This window comes from Homo sapiens, chromosome 2 (genome assembly GCF_000001405.40).
Source record: "Homo sapiens chromosome 2, GRCh38.p14 Primary Assembly".
Classification (NCBI taxonomy): domain Eukaryota; kingdom Metazoa; phylum Chordata; class Mammalia; order Primates; family Hominidae; genus Homo; species Homo sapiens.
The window spans coordinates 127,268,676-127,289,858 of record NC_000002.12 but is presented as its reverse complement, the minus strand read 5'-3'; the positions used below and the strand labels follow the sequence as shown (position 1 = coordinate 127,289,858).

The window sequence follows — 21,183 nt, the reverse complement described above, 5'->3', positions numbered from 1 at the left end:
GTCAGTAGACCCCTTCTTCCTCCCCTGCTTGCAGATACTTCGTTGAAAGTTGCCACCCTGATGTAATCCAGCATCTTCTCCAGGACCCCGTGATCCGAGAATGCCGCTTAAGAAACTCTGAAGGGGAGGCCACTGAGCTCATCACAGAGACTTTCACAAGCAAATCTGCCGTATGTGGACTCCTGGGCCACCCTTGGGTGGGGGCAGGCATTTAGGATTTCAGTTCTCTCAGGTGTCTTTAACCCAGCACTTACAACCTAGCAGCCCTGCTGGTTCTACCCTTTACAACTTCACCCATTGCTTGATAACAGCAGAATTAAATGTTGTGTGCACGTTCAGCACCTACCTCTCTCACAGATTTCTAAGACTGCTGAAAGCAGTGGTGGGCCCTCCACTTCCCGAGTGACAGATCCACAGGGTAAATCTGACATCCCCATGGACCTGTTTGACTTCTATGAGCAAATGGACAAGGATGAAGAAGAAGAAGAAGAGACACAGACAGTGTCTTTTGAAGTCAAGCAGGTTAGTGAATGTACCTTCCTCCTGGTTCCTTCACTGAGCTGCTGTTAGAAGCTAGTCCAGCCATGTGTCGACTCTGCCTGTAGTCTGTGTGAAAGGAAGGAGTCCCTGTTGGTCCCTGAATTGCTTTCTCCTTTTTATTATCTGTGAGCCATGGCATCATTTCTCCTGATGGAGTTAAAGTCCCAGTGTCCTCTTTTTCAGGCTGGTAGGCTGGTCTTCACAGGTTCCTGAGGAGATGTGAGAAATGGTGCCTGAAGGTCAATTTTGCCTGCTGATTAGATTTCATTTTCAAAGTGTTGTTAGTCTGGGTTGCTTTTCTGTGCTTTATCCCGGTTGTTGACTGAGCAAGATCTAAAATCTTGTAGAAGTTTAGATAGAATGCCACTTTTTTGACCATTGGACCTCTTAGAAGATGTAATGTTTTTGAGCACAGTAACAAGATTTTAAAACCCCTTTTGTGCCCTCTTTCCAGGAAATGATTGAGGAACTCCAGAAACGTTGCATCCACCTGGAGTACCCTCTGTTGGCAGAATATGACTTCCGGAATGATTCTGTCAACCCTGATATCAACATTGACCTAAAGCCCACAGCTGTCCTCAGACCCTATCAGGAGAAGAGCTTGCGAAAGATGTTTGGAAACGGGCGTGCACGTTCGGGGGTCATTGTTCTTCCCTGCGGTAAGTGGTACCAGAGTTAAGAAGGTGGTCAGGCTGTTGTGTCTGGATCTGCCAGCTGCCTCCCGCTTTCTCTCTGCACATTTCCCTAAATCACACCTTGCTGAAAAGCCAAGATCAGGTGACTCCCTGATTCATGACTTGACAAATATTTGAGTGCTTGCTGTGTATGGGCCCTGGCCTGGACACTGGGGGTATTATGGTGGCTAGAACAACACTTCTGACCTCATGGAGCTCACTCTTCTGGGGAAGAGACAGATGGTAAGCAGATGTGTACAACCTTGGGTGGTGCTAGAGTCAGCGAAGAAAAATTAGAGCACATGAGGGGTGAGATTGTAATGATGGCAAGGGGCTGTTGCACTTAGTGGGGTTAGGTTCTTGTTCTTGAATCAGCCTTAGGGGTTGTGTATTTGGAGACTCCCTAGCGCAGAAACTTTGGTGTTCCTGGATGACTAGGATGGTGTGCAGGTCCAGGGAAAGGCAGGAGTGGCCCCCTGGGCACCTGTTTGACCACTTATCCCAGTAGTGTCAGGTCCTAGCCTAGCTTCTTGGCCAGAGACCACAGCAGACTCACCTTGGGACCCCACTGAGGACTTACAGAGGCAAGGTCTTCAGGGAAGGGGAGGTTCTTTTTTTCCAAAACTCCAAGGGTTATTTTGATGTTGTTTTCCTTTTTTATTTCACTTTACAAATTTTTTTTATTTACGTTTATTCCTGGTAACTCACAGTGTATTTTTATAATAAAGGAAGGATCTCTGTTTAATGGAAAAGCTTGATTTTTCTCTTGATCTTCAAATGGTGGATGGTAGTAAACTCAGAAGCTCCTGGAATTTCATTTTCTCTGTACACACATAGCGCATCCCTGAATTCTCAGCCCCGTTTGCTGTGTAATAATAATAGTGGTCTTTTGCCGAGTGCCTCCTTCTGTGGGCCAGGCATGCTGGGACCCAGTAGCTTCACTGTCCCGTGGCTGTGGGCAAGGTAAAGTACTCCTCAGCTTTAGTTTTTCAATCTTTCTTTTTTCTTTTTGAGACAGAGTCTTGCTCCGTTGCCCATGCTGGAGTGTAGTGGCGCCATCTTGGCTCACCACAACCTCCGCCTACTGGGTTCAAGATATTCTCCTGCCTCAGCCTCCCAAGTGACCGGGATTATAGGCGCCCGCCACCATGCCCGGCTAATTTTTTGTATTTTTAGTAAAGATAGGGTTTCACCATGTTGGCCAGGCTGGTCTTGAACTCCTGACCTCATGTGATCTACCCACCTCGGCCTCCCAAAGTGCTGGGATTACAGGTATGAGCCACCGTGGCATGGTGGCTCAGCCAGGTTTTTCTATCTTTAAAATAACAATAACAGGCATTTCTCTTCTCACTGGTTTGTTTTGAGATTTTGACATTTAAATGAGATGTGTGTAAAGTGCTACAGTAGGCCCCAGCGCCTGCCATTTCTCACATATGTATGTGAAGTGGGCATGTCTCCTCATTATAAAGAAGAAAACAGGCTGGAGCAGTGTGTGTCGCTCAGATGTCAGCTATGTGGACTGTTACAAGACATTTTCCTAGATTGCTGTACTTGTGAGTCATTCTGCCTGTCCCTGTCCTTCATTTCAACCTGTCCTTGGGTGGGATTGCACTCTTGTTTCTTGTAGGTGCTGGAAAGTCCCTGGTTGGTGTGACTGCTGCATGCACTGTCAGAAAACGCTGTCTGGTGCTGGGCAACTCAGCTGTTTCTGTGGAGCAGTGGAAAGCCCAGTTCAAGATGTGGTCCACCATTGACGACAGCCAGATCTGCCGGTTCACCTCCGATGCCAAGGACAAGCCCATCGGCTGCTCCGTTGCCATTAGCACCTACTCCATGCTGGGCCACACCACCAAAAGGTCCTGGGAGGCCGAGCGAGTCATGGAGTGGCTCAAGACCCAGGAGTGGGGCCTCATGATCCTGGATGAAGTGCACACCATACCAGGTAAGCAGGCTGGAGCTGAGCTGTCCACTTGCTGAACAGACAAACCAATTTCCAGTTGTTAGGTTGGGAAAGGGACTGCTGTGTAGCCCACCCAACTGGCTAGAAAGACTTGCTGGCTTGCTGGGTAAAGCTTTTAATAGTTCTTTTTTTTTTTTTTGAGAGGGAGTCTCACTCTGTCACCCAAGCTGGAGTGCAGTGGCACGATCTCAGCTCACCACAACTTCCACCTCCCAGGTTCAAGCAGTTCTCTGCCTCAGCCTCTGAGTAGCTGGGATTACAGGCACCTGCCACCATGCTAGGCTAATTTTTGTATTTTTGTAGAGACAGGGTTTCCCCATCTTGGCCAGGCTGGTCTTGAACTCCTGACCTCGTGATCCACCCACCTCATCCTCCCAAAGTGCTGGGATTACAGGCGTGAGCCACCGTGCCCGGCCAGTAATTCTTAAGTGGGATGCAGGCAGGAGTGTTCACATTCACAGTTTGCTTAATCACTGGCTCAGTAGTGATTTAGAAAATGATATTTTCTTTCCTCCATCTTCCTTTTGCTGCTCAGCTTCATCCGTTTTTTAATGGCCCTCTAAAAACTGGGTTAGGAGCACTGAAAAGCCCTTCCCAAAATGGTGGTGATGTGTTTTATTTGAAGCCCGGAATATTGATCCTTAGTCAATATGTAATAGAAGCCCTACTTCTCCAAGTATCATGGGCAAACCTTTTTTTTTTAAGCTGCTCTATTGATTTAATTTATATACCATAAAATCACCCCTTGTAAATATATAATCCAATGAGTTTTAGTAAATTTGTGGACCAGTGCAACCATGACCATGATCCAAGTTTTCTTTTCTTTTTTTTTTTGAGATGGCATCTTGCTTTGTTGCCCAGGCTGGAGTGCAGTCGTGTGATCTTGGCCCACTGCAACCTCCGCCTCTAGGGTTCAACTGATTCCCCTGCCTCAGCCTCCCAAGTAGCTGGGACTACAGGTGTGTACTACCACACCCGGCTAATTTTTTTTTATTTGAGACAGTTTCGCTCTTGTTGCCCAGGCTGGAGTGCAGTGGTGCAATCTCAGCTCACTGGAAGCTCTGCCTCCCGGGTTCAAGTGATTCTCCTGCCTCAGCCTCCCGAGTAGCTAGGATTACAGGTGTGCGCCACCATGCCCAGCTAATTTTATATTTTTAGTAGAGACAGGGTTTCTCCGTGTTGGTCAGGCTGGTCTCAAACTCCTGACTTCAGGTGATCCGCCCACCTCAGCCTCACCCTGGGATTACAGGCGTAAAGTACCACACCTGGCCAAATTTTTGTATTTTTAGTAGAGAAAGGGTTTCGCCATGTTAGCCAGGCTGGTCTTGAAGTCCAGACTTTAAGTGATCTGCCTGCTTGGGCCTCCCAAAGTACTGGGATTATAGACGTGAGCCACTGCATTCGGCCACCATGATCCAGTTTTAGATTTCCTTTGTACTCATTTGCAGTCAATCTTTGTTTCTCTATCTAGCTTCAGATGACTACTGAACTGCTGTCACTATAGATTTGCTTTTTATGGAAAATTTATATAAACACAATCATACAATATATATTATGTCTGGCTTCTTTCACTTCCCATAATGATTCATCTGTGCCTTAGCATTTATCAGTAGTTTGTTCCTTTTATTGCTGTATAGTTTTTTGGGCGAATCTTTTTTGATAAAAACAGATTAAGGGATTAAGATTAACAAATTAGGAGTGGGCATGGTGGCTGACACCTGTAGTCTCCTAGCACTTTGGGAGGCCAGGGCAGGAGGATTGCTTGAGCCCAGGAGCTTAAGATTAGCCTGGGTAACATAGTGAGACATGTCTCTACAAAAAAAAATTTTTTTAATTAGCCAAGTGTGGTGGTGTGCACCTGTGGTCTCAGCTGCTGAGGAGGCTGAGGTGGGAGGATCACTTGAACCTGGGAGGTTGAGGCTGCAGTGAACCATGATTGTGCAACTGTACTCCAGCATGGGTGACAGAGTGTGAGACTCTGTCTCAAAAAAAAAAAATAAAGATGAACAGATTAGGGTAAATTAAGGAGTCTAATAGAGGTTACTATGAACAAAATGAAATCTGAGGCATTTTCACAGGTAGTGTTCAAAATGTCAAAATGGCCCCAGCATCTGGTTCTTTCTGTGCATGAGAGCTCTTCAGCCCTGATGGGTTTCTGGAGATACCTAGAGATGTTCACAGCTGGCCAGGGAGGGATTGGAGGTCTTTCTGATGGAAGCCCAGGGTGTGGGCCCTGCTGTGGGAAAGTACTTGGCATAGTGAGACAGCACAAGGTGGCCATGCGGCCAGAGGAGAGCATAGGAACAGTAGTCAAGGCTGAGGAAGATTAGCGGTATTGGGGCAGGTCTTGTAGGACCTTGTAGGCCACGACAAGAACTTTGGCTTGTACTCTTAGTGTGAAGCCATCTGAGGGATTTGAGCAGAGCATGACATGAGTTGACTTTACACTGTAAAAATACTGCCCTGGCTGCTGTGCTGGAAATAGACTGAAGGAAGCAAGACAGAAGCGGTGAGGTGAGTTTGTGGAATCCCAGTAAGGATGAAGGCGTGATCCGACTCTGGATATGTTGTGAAGCTTTAATTGACAGGTCAGGTGTGGAATCAGAGAGAAATCAAGAATGACACTAAGGTTTTTGGCTTGAACAAAGGGAGGATACAGTGGGCATTAATTGAGATGGGGAACACTCTCAAAGGAGCTGGTCTGGAAGGTGACTATCAGGAGTTGGGCTTTAGATGTGTGAATTTGAGTTTCCTGTTAGGCATTCAGGCCATGGCAAAAAGGTTAAGAAATAGGCCAAAGAAATTGATAGACATTTCACCAAAAAAGGATATACATATGTCAAAAAAGCACTTGAAAAAGGGTTCAACCTCATTAGTCATCAGGGAACTGCAGATTTAAACCCACCACAGGATGCTCCCATATGCCAGTTAGAAGGGCCAAAATAAAAAATACTGATGTGCGGGTGCTGATGAGGTCACAGCAACTGAACTGTCACACATTCCTGGAGGGATGGATTGCAAAGTGTATGGTCACTGTGGAAAACAGTTTGTCCATTTATTATGAAATTACCACATGACCCATCAGTCCCATTCCTGTGTATCCTGGATACATGAAAAGAGGTTTACACAAAATCCTGTACACGAATGTTTATGGCAGCTCTGTTCATAATATCCAAAACCCAGGTGCTCATCAGTGGGTGTCTGGATAAACAAGCTGTGGTACATCCATACACTGGAACACTACTCAGTAGTGAAAAAGAACAAACTTGCTGCATGTTGCAACCTGGATGAATCTCAAAAGCATGGTGCTGAGTGAAAGAAGTCAGCCTCAAAAGCTTCCATAGTATGTGATTTCATTTATACAACGACAGTATAGTGCTGGCCAGCAGATCAGTGGTTGCCAGAAGTGGGGGGTCAGAGATGGATGACTCTAAAGGAGAGCACAGGGGAATTTTGGGGGATGCTGTCTTTATCTGTACCCTGATTGTGGTGCTGGTTACAAAAATGTAAATATGTTAAAATGCATAGAAGTGCCCCCCCCACCCCCCGCCCCAAGTCAGTTTTACTGTGAGAATTTAAAAACTCAAAAGAAAAAAGGTGGAAGGGTGGGTATTGGGTCTGCTAGGATTGAAAATTGATGGTACAGAGAATCACTACCCACAAAGGAGTCTGGAATTGTTCTGTAGCAGTTTGGTTGGAAGCTGTGTTCAGGGCTTGAGGCATTCTGTCTGACTATATGTTTGGTACACGTTCATGTTTTTCTTTAACCCAAGCCCCAGGTCCCAGGTTCCAGGGGACAACAGCACAGATTTGGGATTGGTTATCTGATGAACAAGTACAAAAAGGTGCATCTCACACTCACATATGTCTGTGAGTTTGTCTGTCTCTCGTCTAGTTCACTGGATGAGTTAGTCTTTGGTTGAGTTGCGGAGTGAAACCAACAAACTCTAAGGGATTTTTGAGTACAGGCCCCATAAGCCCAGTGGCCTGGCCATGCTCATTGTCCCAGAGAGCAAATGTTAAATAAGGGAATGCTAGGAAGTCACAGTAAGTCTCCTGACTGTCTTAACGTCTGCTGTGTTGGGTTAGGTGGAGTGATCAATCTTTGAGATTTATCTCAAAGGATAAAGATTGCTGTGCTGTTTTACAGATTTTTCAAAAGGAGCTCTGTTATGCCTTTTTATTAATGATTCATATTATGGTACTTGTGTATATTAAGTGCTTCCTGTGTGCTAGGTACTGTGCCAGTTTCATTATTTCTACAGGTATTTATTGAGAACCTACTAAGTTTAGGCACTGTACTTGGCACTGGAGACAAAGTGGAAGGGACAGCCAAGTAACCACACAAATAAATGCCAAATGACAACCATGACATAATGTTGAGTGATACAAGCCACACACAAAAGTGCATACTATGATTTCATTCATGCAAAGTTCAGAAAGGAGGCAGACCCCTCTCAGAAGTCAGAGGAGTGTTTCCCTCAAGGAAGAGTGCTAGTTATTGACAGAAGGGGTCAGGGGAGAGACCTCTGGGTGCCTGGTTCTCTATATCCTGATCTAGGTGGTTCCACAGCTGCATGTCTGTAAAAATATATTGAGTAGTATGCTGTGAGTTATTCACCTGTGACAGCTGTCAGGGCTGTAGGAGAGTGTAATAGAGGGGTGTGATGGGGTCACGGGTGTCCAGGCAGAGTCCTACCTGCCTTATCCTTGTCTTGGGTCAGTATGTCCCCCAGTGTTGCCTCTCTGGGGCCCACACTGGGTTGGTGTAGCCATTGCCTTGACTACCATTTCCCTCTAACATGGGGAGCTTGGTCTGAGGTTCTTGGCTACTGTATTTTGGAGCCAGCACAGTCTTTCCTTAGACATAACCCTGAGCTGATTTTGTTTTCTGTGTTGTGTGTGTGTGTGTGTGTTTGTGTGTGTGTGTTTGCATGTGGTGTTGTGTGCAAACCATGTAGATGTAAAAACTAAACATTTACTTAGAGTTAGGCAACCCTATGTTATTTCACTGTGAACGTCTTTGTGTTTTGGTGCATTCAGGCCTCTTTTTCCTTAGATTTTTGTGTCTATTTATTTCTGAAATATCATTAGCCCTACTTTCAATTATATTGTAAGATAAGCATGACTCAAACATTTTAACCTTGCTTCAGAGTATTAGAATTTTTAAAAGGTGAGCCCGTGGAAATCCATAAATTAGGTTTTTTAAAAATGAATAACTCATACCCTTTATGTGTTTATTTTATTTGATAAACCAGAGAGAATTATAATGTTCAAAAGAAAGGAAGAAAAAGAGGTTGCTGGTTGACCAAAGTGATTGAATTGGTAAAGTTTGGAGAGGGGAGTTTCCTAAGGCGGGCCGGAGGGCTTGGGCGAACAGTTCCTGGAGTTTCATCACTCCCGTGGGCTTGGCTTTCTTCTCGGTTTCTGGGAAAATGATGGGAAGCTGAGAAGAGCTGGCTTCTTTCATTTCTTCCTCTCCCTAGATTGTCAACTTTCTTTTCAGTAACCTGGGTACAAGTGTTAGGGGAAAATTCTTTGCGTAATTTAGAGCTTAATGGTATTAATAGTAAGTATTGCAGGTTGTATTTCAAATTGCCATCTGTACTTCTACTGATAACTGTTGTGAGGGGAATGCTGGGATTCATTAACTTGGAGATTCCTTAAGCTCATTTCACCCTCTTGTTCTCCTTTTCATTTTCTTTTGGACAGGTCTAAAAGTGATGGTGAAGCATTTGCCTAGTCATTCTTGTCTAGAGCCAGCTTCTGTGGTCCTGAAACCCAAGGGTTAGTTCAGGTGGTGTCATAAGCCAGTGTTAAGTTGCACAGCTATGAGCATTTGAAAAAGTGACAGTGTAGGCTGGGTGCAGTGGGTCACGTCTGTAATCCCAGCACTTTGGGAGGCGAAGGCAGGGGGATTGCTTGAGGCCAGGAGTTCAAGACCAGCCTGGGCAATATAATGAGACCCCATCTCTACAAAAAATATTTTAAAATAAATAAATAAAAAATAAGAAAGAAAAGTGACAGTGTGAATGCTCCCATTGTTTCCTCAGCCAAGATGTTCCGAAGGGTGCTCACCATCGTGCAGGCCCACTGTAAGCTGGGTTTGACTGCGACCCTCGTCCGCGAAGATGACAAAATTGTGGATTTAAATTTTCTGATTGGGCCTAAGCTCTACGAAGCCAACTGGATGGAGCTGCAGAATAATGGCTACATCGCCAAAGTCCAGTGTGCTGAGGTAGCTGGGCCTGGGCTGGGGGCGTCTGGGAAAGGGCCTCCTCCTATGGGCAGGGGAGTGATCAGATCGATTCCTCATGGGCAGACACAGGTCAGGACTTAGGCTCACCTGCTACCACTTCATACAGGATCCTCAGTCACCCTGTGGTTGGGTGGTACTAGACCCACTTGCTGCATATCTTCTGTCTTGTCACATATCTCACATACCCCTGAATTTGTGATGATTCTTTTTCCTAGCCATGGGGTTTACCAGTCATGGATTTCTGTGGGTGAGGATTAGCATTCAGGGCACAGGGATGAATGAAGGCCCCTGATACCACAGTGCTGCCTGGGAGCCTGGCAGCAAAGGGCTTTGCTCTGATAGCCCCAAGCGCCTAACTGATATGCTCCCAGCCCTGCTGGGAAGTGTGTGAAGAGGTGGCGGTACTCAGTAGCAGTGCTGACTCGTGTGTGGAAGTGTGGCTTAAATGGAAGAATTGCTGACACTACCAATTGAGAATCTGGTTTCGCACACTTGCAGCTGGTGTGAAAATAACTCCCTGGATGTGATTGCATTTAAAAATCTTTTAAGTGGTTAACATGTGAAAACGTCCAGTTCAATAGGAGGTATTAGGTTGGGTTTAGTTTTGTGCATGCATTTATTTTCAGTTGTACTGATTTCTAATTCACATAGCATTTTTTTTTTTTTAAAACAGGGTCTCACTCTGTCACCCAGGCTGGAGTGCAGTGGCGTGATCTTGGCTCACTGCAACCTCCGCCTCCTGGGCAAGTGATTCTCCTGCCTTAGCCTCCTGCGTAGCTGGAATTACAGACATGCACTACCACACCCAGCTAATTTTTGTATTTTTAGTAGAGACTGGGTTTCACTGTGTTGGCCAGGCTGGTCTTGAACTCCTGGCCTCAAGTGATCTGCCTGCCTCAGCCTCCCAAACTGCTGGCATTACAGGCATGAGCCACTGCACCTGACTGGTTTTGTTTTAAAGCTAATTCTGCTAGAGAAAGGTCTTCAAAAGTTTTAAATTGTGTGGTGTTTAAACTTGTAAAATGACCCCTGGTTCTTACTGTATTACAGGTCTGGTGCCCTATGTCTCCTGAATTTTACCGGGAATATGTGGCAATCAAAACCAAGAAACGAATCTTGCTGTACACCATGAACCCCAACAAATTTAGAGCTTGCCAGTTTCTGATCAAGTTTCATGAAAGGAGGAATGACAAGATTATTGTCTTTGCTGACAATGTGTTTGCCCTAAAGGAATATGCCATTCGACTGAACAAGTAAGAATTGAAAACTTGGAGCTTCCTCCAGGCCAGTTTCTCTTCCCCATTGAGAGTGCAGAAGGTGGCTGTTGTTTTGTTTTTTTGTTTTTCTCTCAGGAACTTCTTGGGCTCCAAAGATCTTGTTCTGTGGCCCTGGTCTCAGAAACCAGGGAAGACCTGAAGTAGGTGGTTGGAGTCAGAGGTTAGAGCATAGAGAAAAGGGGGGCTAGTCACCTTGAGCCCAAAGAACAGGGAGCAGAGACTTGGACTGAGCTGGGTGGGGCCCCATGGAAGATCTGGGCTCCAAAGGTGGGTGGGAGTTGGCATTTGGAGCTTTGGGCTGTGTGAGCTCTGTGGGTGGAGAGGAGGCCAGACTGGATGGCCTAGGGGCTGGGAAGGCAAGATGGGCTGGGCTGGCATCCCAAGTACGGACTGGCATCTGGAAGGAGCTTAGAAATGCCCACGCAGTATCCTCATCAACCCATGGCTCCACCCAAATATTTGTGCTTAAAACCTGGCTTTTGTAAAGCTCTGCCAAGTAAGGAGGAAGAGGTCTGCGCTTGCTCCTACAGTGACACAGGACTTCAGGTGCTGTAAGTGTTGCAGAAGGCCAGGCCCTCTATGGAGACAGGTCAAGCTATGTGCTATGGGTACTATACATAGGTTTTACTTAATCCTCACTTCAGCCATATAAAATGTTGTTCCCATTTTATAGAAGGGAAGACAAACTCATAGAAAGATTAAATTTCTTAAGTTTCTAAAATTATACCTTTATTTAATTTAGAAAGACTTTTTAATCCAAGTCAACATTTAGATTATTGTGAAAAACAGCAATTCCCTGCTTCTATTTTCCCACCCACAATTCTATTCCTTGAAGACAGCCGCTTTTGACTCTTTTTTGTTGTTTACCTTCATATTTCTTTCTTTCTTCCTTTTTTCTTTTTTTTTTTTTGGAGTTAGGGTGTCACTGTGTCACCCAGTCTGTAGTGCAGTGGTGTAATCACGGCTCACGGCAGCCTTGACCCCCTGGGCTCAATCAATCCTTCCACCTCAGCCTCCCGAGTAGCTGGGTCTACAGGCACGCACCACCACACCCAGCTAATTTTTGTTTTTTGTAGAGATGGGGTTTTGCTATGTTGCCCAGGCTGGTCTCAAACTCCTGAGCTCAAGCAGTTCCTCCTGCCTTGGCCTCCCAAAGTGCTGGGATTAGAGTCATGAGCCACCACACCTGGCCAGCCTTCATCTTTCTAAGCAATAGCTTATGTAGTAATTTCTTGATGATCAGTTATAGAAATTGCCTATTAACTTCCTACTGTAGGAGTTGAGGGTTTAGCTTTCTTACATACACCACTCTCCCCACTCCTGTTTTCTCTCCTACCATTCTCCCAATATGGGAATAGCACAAGTTGGGGGTTACTTTAATATTCAGTTACATTATTTTGACTGTGTAAGTATGTTCAGGCAGAGCTGTAGAGTACTATTACATTTTCCTTTTTTTTTTGAGACGGAGTCTTGCTCTGTTGCCAGGCTGGAGTGCAGTGGCGCTATCTCAGCTCACTGCAACCTCTGCCTTGTGGGTTCAAGTGATTCTCCTGCCTCAGCCTCCTGAGTAGCTGGGACTACAGGCACCCGCCACCACAGCCTGGATAATTTTTGTATTTTTGGTAGAGATAGGGTTTCACCATATTGGCCAGGATGGTCTCGATCTCTTGACCTCGTGATCTGCCTGCCTCGGCCTTCCAAAGTGCTGGGATTACAGGTGTGAGCCACCATGCCCGGCCTTACATTTTCTTTTTTGTAAATGTTTTTTTGCCTTGGAGTTAATAATTGCCTTGTCATTGTTTTTGCTTGGTTTTCTGTGCATTGAATAATTATTCCCCTCCAAAGTCTTCACATAACCATAAACTCAGTAGGGTCAGGTAATTTCTCAGTTCTGTTTTTCTGTTTCCCCAGTGGGATCCCCACCAGCACTCCATTCGCTTACTCTGTTCTGGCCTGCTTGCTGTCTAGGACTAGAGACACCACCAGCTGTTACCATGGGGTTTCCCTTGGACACTACCCCATGACTTCCCTGGGCCTCTTTGTTGTGTTTCCCACCCTGAAATCTCCACCCTCTTGGTTACTCATTTTGATGGAGCACATGTTCCAGTAGGTTCCTGAGAGAAGGGATGTAGGAGGAGAAGCTTTGGAGACTTCACATGTTTACAGATGTCTTTACTCGACTTTATACTTGATCAGTAGTTTGGCCAGGTCCTAGAACTAACATTGGAGCTTCCAGTGCAGCAGTTTGGCAGTCTGATGCCCTTTGCTTCCTCTCAGTGTGTTGTCTGCTGTGGTGGCTGTGCGTTTTCCTTCCCTTGAAAACTGGTAGGATCTTCTCTCTTTTTGGAAATTTGAAAGTGATATTCTTAATGTTTTTCTTTCATCGTGATGGGCACTCAGTATATCCTTTCCATCTGGAAACTCGTGTCCTTCAGTTCTGAGAATTTCTGTTTTTTTGTTGTTAATCACTTTCTCTATGTAGTCCCTTCTTGGAATTTTGATTCATCAGATGTTAGATCCTCTGAACAGCTTCTCCAGTTTGCTTATCTTTTTTCTACTTTTTTATCTCTTTGTCTTCTAACCCTTGTATTGAGACTTGTTAATTTCTGAGAGTTCTTTCCTGGTAACTGTTCTTGTTTTGTTTGTGAATAGAGTGTCTTCTCGGAGGCTTTGAAAACTTTTGAAGCTTCCGTCTGTTTCCTGCCATGTCTCTTTTCTTCATTTTTTTGTCTTAATTGTTTTTACCTGTCTTTTGAGTCTTTCTGAGTTTTGGTAATCCTTGACTGTATTTTATTGGTTTAAAGTCACTGAAAACCTGGCAGGCCTTTCTGTGTGGCTTAGTGGGTTTGCCAGCTTGTGGACCTCACCAGAGTGGCTGGGCAGGGCCTGGCTATTTCTTCAGGAGGTTGCCAAATGCCAGTATCTCTAGGACTTTTCTCTTGGGCTGGACGGTTTCTTCAGTGAGGAATTTTTCAGTCCCCTGGGCACCACCGTGTGTTAGGGGAAGAGGAGGGCTTGTGGAATCTTTGCATTCAGTCTTGCCTTTTCCCTCATCTCTGCCGGGCATCCCTGGAGAATAAGCCTCCAGTGCCCCACCAGTGGAGGTGGCCTGCCTGCTGCCGGCCGGACCCAACTGCTCCTCACACTCACACACTGCCAGTCCTCCTGTGCACCTCCCCACCTTCTCAGGCAACTGGTGACTAGTTCCTGAGCCCTCCTGCGTGCTGCAGAGGACACAGAGGCGGCGGGTTTTGTATCGGTCTTCCCTCCTGCCGGCTCCAGCTTCTGCTTTCTCTAGTCTGTTAGCTCAGGTACTGTGCCTGCATCTGTCTGCTTTTCAGCTTCTGAAATGTTACCCACTTCTCTCATCTGCTGTTATTTCTTCTCCTGTTTTCTTGGTGGGTTTGTGTTCTGTCACATTAGTGCCAATTTGAGCAGGGCAATGAGACAGTTCCTATATTTACTTTGCCTTATTTAAGAACTATTCTCTCCCCATCCTTCCTCCCACAGCAATGCTCCTCCAGTCTTCTGGAGCCTCACTCCAGGGGCCTCCCCCACCTACATTTGCAGCACTCCTGAGGCTTGTGCCTTAGCCGCAGCCTCCCGAGCATCTGCTTGGGCAGGGACGTTAATTTGCCTGGCACTGTCAATTCCAAGCCAGTCTGTCACAGTGAAGGGCAGCAGATTGTGGCTGTCTCCTGTGTACTAGAATGATCATTACAATGTGTACTTTTTACCTTTTTTTTGTGTCTCTGGCCTTTAAATGTATGAAGTAGTGTTTTTTCTTCTTGGTTTTCTCGCTTCTAAAATGATCCTGCGGGCCAGGCGCAGTGGCTCATGCCTATAATCCCAGCACTTTGGGGGGCCAAGGCAGAAAGATCACTTGAGCCCAGGAGTTCAAGTCCAGCTTGGGCAATATAGTGAGACCCCATCCTTTAAAAAAAAAGTGATCCTGTGGCTCTCGGGCATTGCTCCATTCTTTGCTCGTGTGTGGTGGGGATTCTCCAAGCTTTTGGCTCCTCCCAGCCTTCATAAGAAAGGCATTGGTATCACCAAAGCACTTTGCAAGAGAGGCTTAGGGTTATATGGCAGTGTGGGGCTGTGGGCAGAGCATCGTTTTTGGGATCAGACAGACTGGATGTGGGAAAGTTGTTTACCTCTGAACTCCTTTTGTACTTCGGTCACATGGAGCTACTGCCACCCAATGTGTACTGGGTCCTGGTGTCCCTTGATGGTGGGGGGTGGATTCTTGTGCCTGGCAGCTTGTAAGTATTTAGTAAATGTGACATTCTCCACTTGGAGGGTGCTTTTCCTTCTATTTCATCTGTGTGGGGGAACCTTTAGAAACTGAGGGCTCCCCACTGTGCAAGTAGTTTTTCCTGGTGATGGGGGAGGAGAAAACCACCTAAAAACCTGGGTCTCAAGAGTCAGGCTGTTCTGACGAGTGGGGCTTCTAACCTTTTTCACTGCATGACATGCATAGAAAATGATAAAATTATGTGGTGGCCGGGACATTCTGGATCACGGCAAGGCAGCTTGTGACTGGGCTAATCAGAGGCCATCAGCCTGGGTGTGCAGCTGCCCAGGCCCTATCCAGCTTCCCCACAGGCAAGGGGTTTGCTCTTTGAGGTACATCCATTAATGGGCACTGCTCTGGGTGCTAACGGGCCTCGGCAGTGGAGCAGCCACTCCCAGGTTCCACCTGCTCAGGCTTCTGACCCTTGGTTTCCCACATGTAAATTGGGGAACATGAAACCTGTCTTTTACAATGCTGAGGAATCTTGGCAGGGCTGGCTGGATTTTTTTCTTTTCTTTTTCTTTTTTTTTTTTTTCTGAGACGGAGTCTCACTCTGTTGCCCAGGCTGGAGTGAAGTGGTGTGATCTTGGCTCACTGCAACCTCTGCCTCCCAGGTTCAAGTGATTCTCCTGCTTCAGCCTCCTGAGTAGCTGGGATTATAGGTGCCCACCACCATACCCAGCTAATTTTTTTTATTTTTAGTAGAGATGGGGTCTCACCATGTTGGCCAGGCTGGTCTCGAACTCCTGGCCTCAGGTGATCCACCCACCTCCGCCTCCCAAAGTGCTGGGATTACAGGTGTGAGCCACCGCGCCTGGCTGGATTTTTTTTTTTTTAATGTAATACTCAGCTCAATGCCTGGTGTTGGTAGGTCCTGCGTACCTGTAGTTTGTCTTCATTGTCTTTGCTGTTGTCATCATCATCATCACTGTTGTTATGATTCTTGGGAAGCTACAAAAACTGTCCACCGTCACATTCCAAGACAGAGGGAAGGAGTGTGACATTCCCAATGCTATGGGATGATAACCATTGAGTTCATTGATAGGGTTGTACCCTTTGGCAGGGAGCTGGAAAATTTTTTTTTTTTTTTTTTTTTTTTTTTGAGACAGAGTTTCACTCTTGTTTCCCAGGGTGGAGTGCAATGGCGCGATCTCGGCTCACCACAACCTCTGCCTCCCCGGTTCAAGTGATTCTCCTGCCTCAGCCTCCCGAGTAGCTGGGATTACACACATGCGCCACCACACTCGGCTAATTTTGTATTTTTGGTAGAGACGGGGTTTCTTCATGTTGGTCAGGCTGGTCGTGAATTCCCAACCTCAGGTGATCCACCCGCCTCGGCATCCCAAAGTGCTGGGATTACAGGCGTGAACCACCGCGCCTGGCAGGGAGCTAGAAATTAAAGAGAAGTTTTTAAAACTTAGTGTTATGGGAAATCAGCACAATAATGGCTGAAGGGCACTTTTCTCCTTTCTGCTCATCTCTTGGAGCATGCCTGTGTCTTGGCAAACAGTTGCTTCCAGCCTTTTTTTGGAAATAGCAGTGGTTTCTTTGCACCTCTCTTTGGGCTTCATGAAATGTGGAGATGCTCCTTGTATAGACTCTGTGCTGAGAGTAAGAGATGTTGAAGCAGGAAAAAGCATAGTCCAAAAAGAAAACGAAAAATGGAAAGGAGGGAATCCCGAAGAGAATGGTGGGCCTAAACCTAGAATCAGTGGGGAAGGCTGGGAGGTGCATCTGTAGCCAGTCATTTTTTTGGGTGTAACGATATTCCTACATGACGAGGGCTTTCTACTTGAGAAGAGCTAGCCTGAGCTCCTTTTTCCCTCTGATGTGTTTTCAAGATAACTGAGGCATTATTCTGTGGTCTAACACAGCTTCATTCTTCTCTAGACCCTATATCTACGGACCTACGTCTCAGGGGGAAAGGATGCAAATTCTCCAGAATTTCAAGCACAACCCCAAAATTAACACCATCTTCATATCCAAGGTTTGTGTGGCATATGGGGTGGAGGTGAGGCCCCTAGCACTCTGGGGACCTGGGGGGTACACTATGATTCCTGGACAGTGAATTCATGTCTGCTGAAGGAACTTCTCCTGCATGTTTTCATTTCCGACATGTCCAGGGATAGGGGGCACTGCCTGGGGTTAGTGGAAGGAGCAGACTGAGGATTTGCATGCATCATGGATAATCTATAAAGGCTATTTGAGGTTTTTCCAGTTCTTTTGGGGATGTAGAAGTTTTAAGTTGTATTTCCTTATTTATAAAAGGAAAAAAAGTTCATTTCCTACTCTGGCAAAAGTAGGCATTTAGATGAAGTTCTCTTTACAAGTTGGAGATCCTGTGTGTCGCGGCAGCCTTTGTCCTGGTTCCTGGTGTCCCTTGATGATGGGTGGTGGATGTCAGCACAGACTTCCGCAGGCCCAGCTCAGGGATGGTTTACTCTGCAATCAGAAGCTGTAGCCCCACAGTTTAGAATAGTCATTCAGATTAAGACAGACCCAAAGCCCAAAAGAAATGAGATTTTACAACCGGGCGCGGTGGCTCACATCTGTAATCCCAGCACTTTGGGAGGCTGAGGCGGGTGGATCACCGGAGGTCAGGAGTTCGAGACCAGCCTGGCCAACATGGAGAAACCCTGTCTCTACTAAAAATACAAAAATTAGCTGGGTGTGGTGGCAGACGCCTGTAATCCCAACTACTCAGGAGGCTGAGGCAGCAGGGTTCAGTCACTTGAACCCGGGAGGTGGAGGTTGCAGTGGAGCTGAGATTGTGCCGTTGCACTCCAGCCTAGGCAACAAGAGCGAGACTCCGTCTCAAAAAAAAAAAAAAAAAAAAAAAAAAAAGAAATGAGATTTTATGTGATTGTGGCTGGGCGCTTATAAGCACCAAACCTTCATGTCTGTGGCTGGGAACCTCGATGTTTGGAGCCCCAGAGCTGAGGAATCCACCTACAGTCAGAATTCCATATGGGGCAGTTGTTCCTCCCAGGTCACATCCCACGTGTGCTGCTGGTGTCAGTGGCCAACAGGTAAGAGTATGGATGGTTTTGTGGAGACATATTTCTGTAGCCAAAAAAATGAATGACTCAAAGTCAGTCTCTGTTCAAGGGCCCTCTCATCTCTGGGCTCCTGGCACCCAGCACTGAATGTCACTGATGCCTGGTATTAATTCTTCAGGATGACTCTTAGCAGAACTCACACAAGGTCCTGGAGACCCAGAGATGCCTTTCTGAGGTTTATTGCTTCACCTCTCTCTGCCTGCATCAGATAGACCCTGGTATAAAGAGGAGAAAAGAGTGATTATGTTTCAAAATTATCTACAGAACTTATTTAAATTCTGGATCAGTTGACTTTTTTTTTTTCCTCATATATAAAAACCTTCCAACTTGTTTCTGTAGGTAGGTGACACTTCGTTTGATCTGCCGGAAGCAAATGTCCTCATTCAGATCTCATCCCATGGTGGCTCCAGGCGTCAGGAAGCCCAAAGGCTAGGGCGGGTGCTTCGAGCTAAAAAAGGTAAAGTGGCCTTTCATCTTCTGTTGCAGGAGGTCACTCCTCTTAAACCACTTTAGTTAGGAAGACGATAGGGGTGAGAGCTGCCATGTGCCCTGGGGCTAAATAGACTCTGGAGGGAGAGAATCCCAAAGCAAAGACCTAGATCCTTATGGCCCATCATTATTTCTCATACCTTGGGGGTGAATATGCAGGTGTTTTCCATGACAGTGTCACGGAATCCACACAGATGTGCTCTGTACACTGTGCAGCTGTGTTGGTAGATGGTGAGAGGGAGCCAGGGCAAGGCAGTGCTTATGGGGTAGACATGGAAGGGAGAAAACAGAGCTGGGCCACCAGTGTAAGTGGAGGAGCTGGAAGCTGCTTCTGGAACTTGATCAGGAGGCAGGGAAAGGTTTGGTAGGAGCAGCTTGGGCAGACACACAATGGGCACGTCATTCATAACCTGTGCAGAGTGCCGCCCTGGTGGCAGCTTGCAGCAGGGGCAGGGCAAGCTCAGTGAGTGAGGAGGTGAGAATCCTCATTGCAAAGGCTTTTTCTGAGGAGGCGTGGCACCCCTGTGCTTGCTTACTGCGGTAAAAGGGCCCAGACTGCCATTGTGGACATGGCAGGGACTGACACTCTTGCTAAGAGATGGCCGTGTCTGTCTTACTGGGACCAGGGCACATCCTGAGACAAGGACACAAGCCCTATCCTCAAGGAGTCTGCTTATTCAAGGAGGCATCTGGACTGCTAGAATGTTTGAAAATGACAAGATTAGTGGGCATCTGTTGGAACTGTACTGCGTTCAGATGTGTTTAAGAAGCGTCTAGTAGCTTGTATTTAAAATGGAGATGAGGCAGATAGCATGGACTAGAAATAGCATGGACTCAGGCACCAAGCCAGCTGTGTCACCTTTGGCAAATTATTTTCTCCTCTGAGACTTGGTTTTCCCATCCAAAGTGGGGGTGACAATCCTGTCTTGCCAAGACTGCTGTGAGGATTCAGCTTATAAGTCATAAAATGTAGTCGGCTGGCTGGGCACAGTGGCTTACACCTATAATCCCAGCACTTTGGGAGGCCAAGGCAGGAGGATAGCTTGAGCCCAGGAGTTTGAGACCATCTTGGGCAATGTAGTGAGACCCCATCTCTACAAAAAATAAAACTAGCTGGGCGTGGTGGTGTGTACCTGTGGTTCCAGCTACTTGGGAGGCTGAGACAGTAGCTTTTATAAACTGACAGGACTATGATCTGCTAGCAAATGTGAATATAATTCATTACTTATTCCTTACTCTAATTTGAAAACTCCTTTATTGATTGATTGATTGATTGATTGATTGAGATAGAGTCTTATTCTGTCACCCAGGCTGGAGTGCAGTGGCACAATCTCGGCTCACTGCAACCTCCATCTACTGGGGTCAAGTGTGATTCACCTGCCTCAGCCTCCCGAGTACCCGGACTACAGGCGTGCACCACCACGTCCAGCTAATTTTTTTTGTATTTTTAGTAAAGACGGGGTTTCACCATTTTGGCCAGGCTCGTCTCTAGTGATCCACCCACCTTGGCCTCCCAAAGTGCTGGGATTACAGGTGTGAGCCACTGTGCCTAGCCTTAAAAACTCCCTTAAATGTGAATAGAAGGCCAGGCGCGGTGGCTCACGCCTGTAATCCCAGCACTTTGGGAGGCCCAGGCAGGCAGATCATGAGGTCAGGAGATTGAGACCATCCTGGCTAACATGGTGAAACCCCGTCTCTACTAAAAATACAAAAAATTAGCTGGGCGTGGTGGCGGGTGCCTGTAGTCCCAGCTACTCGGGAGGCTGAGGCAGGAGAATGGCGTGAACCCGGGAGGCAGAGCTTACAGTGAGCCGAGATTGCGCCACTGCATTCCAGCCTGGGCAACAGAGCAAGACTCCATCTCAAAAAAAAAAAAAAAAAAAAAAGTGAATAGAATTGTTTTCTTACTCAAAACACTGTTTAACATGACACTTGGCTCCTTTCTTTGCATCTCTGAGCTCTTGTAAGATTTGAGAAACAATTACATTCAAGGGCAGTATGCTTAACCTACTGACATTTGAACTACAAAGCAAAGATGTTCAGATTTTCCTGAAGGATCAAGTCTTTCAGGCCACAGAATTTTCTGTCCTAGTTTTTTAATACAGTAGTCCCCCCATATCTGCAATTTTCCTTTCCACATTCAATTACGCATGGTCAGCTGTAGTCTAAAAATATTAAATGGAAAATTCCAGAAATAAACAATTCATAAGTTTTAAATTACACACTATTCTGAGTAGCATCCATGATGTGAATTCTTGCTTTGTGCGGCATATTCATGCTTAAATTCTCCCCACCCATTAGTCACTTAGTAGCCATCTCAGTTGTCACGGACTGTCACTGTATCTCAGTGCTTGTTTTCAAGTAACCTTTATCTTACTAATGGCCCCAAAGCACAAGTGTAATGATGCTAGCAATTCAGATATGCCAGAGAAGCTGTAAAGTGCTTTCTTAAAGCGAAAAGGTAAAAGTTATTAATTTAAGCAAGGGAATAAAAATCATATGCTAAGGTTGCTAAGATCGAGGGTGAGAATGACTCTTCCTGCTGTACAAGATGATCATCCCCAGAGCACATAGCCGTCAGACTTTCCAAGGTCAATACAAAAGAAAGAATCTTAAAGACAGCTAGAG

General features: G+C 46.2%; 1 protein-coding gene across 5 annotated transcripts in view; it reads left to right on the top strand.

Moving 5' to 3' along the window:
• The window catches only part of ERCC3 (ERCC excision repair 3, TFIIH core complex helicase subunit), a 36,855-nt gene that overhangs the window by 4,286 nt on the left and 11,386 nt on the right, over positions 1 to 21,183 (top strand). For 3 of the 5 annotated variants that reach the window (NM_000122.2, NM_001303416.2, NM_001303418.2), the window contains exons 5-12: positions 35 to 170; positions 358 to 522; positions 995 to 1,199; positions 2,842 to 3,156; positions 9,228 to 9,412; positions 10,484 to 10,686; positions 16,898 to 16,994; positions 18,406 to 18,523. In NM_000122.2, coding sequence (NP_000113.1) covers positions 35 to 170; positions 358 to 522; positions 995 to 1,199; positions 2,842 to 3,156; positions 9,228 to 9,412; positions 10,484 to 10,686; positions 16,898 to 16,994; positions 18,406 to 18,523 — 1,424 coding nt within the window. Of the gene's footprint in view, positions 1 to 34; positions 171 to 339; positions 523 to 994; positions 1,200 to 2,841; positions 3,157 to 9,227; positions 9,413 to 10,483; positions 10,687 to 16,897; positions 16,995 to 18,405; positions 18,524 to 21,183 lie in introns of all 5 variants that reach the window. The other 2 variants (XM_011510794.3, XM_011510795.2) reach the window with 1 other exon arrangement.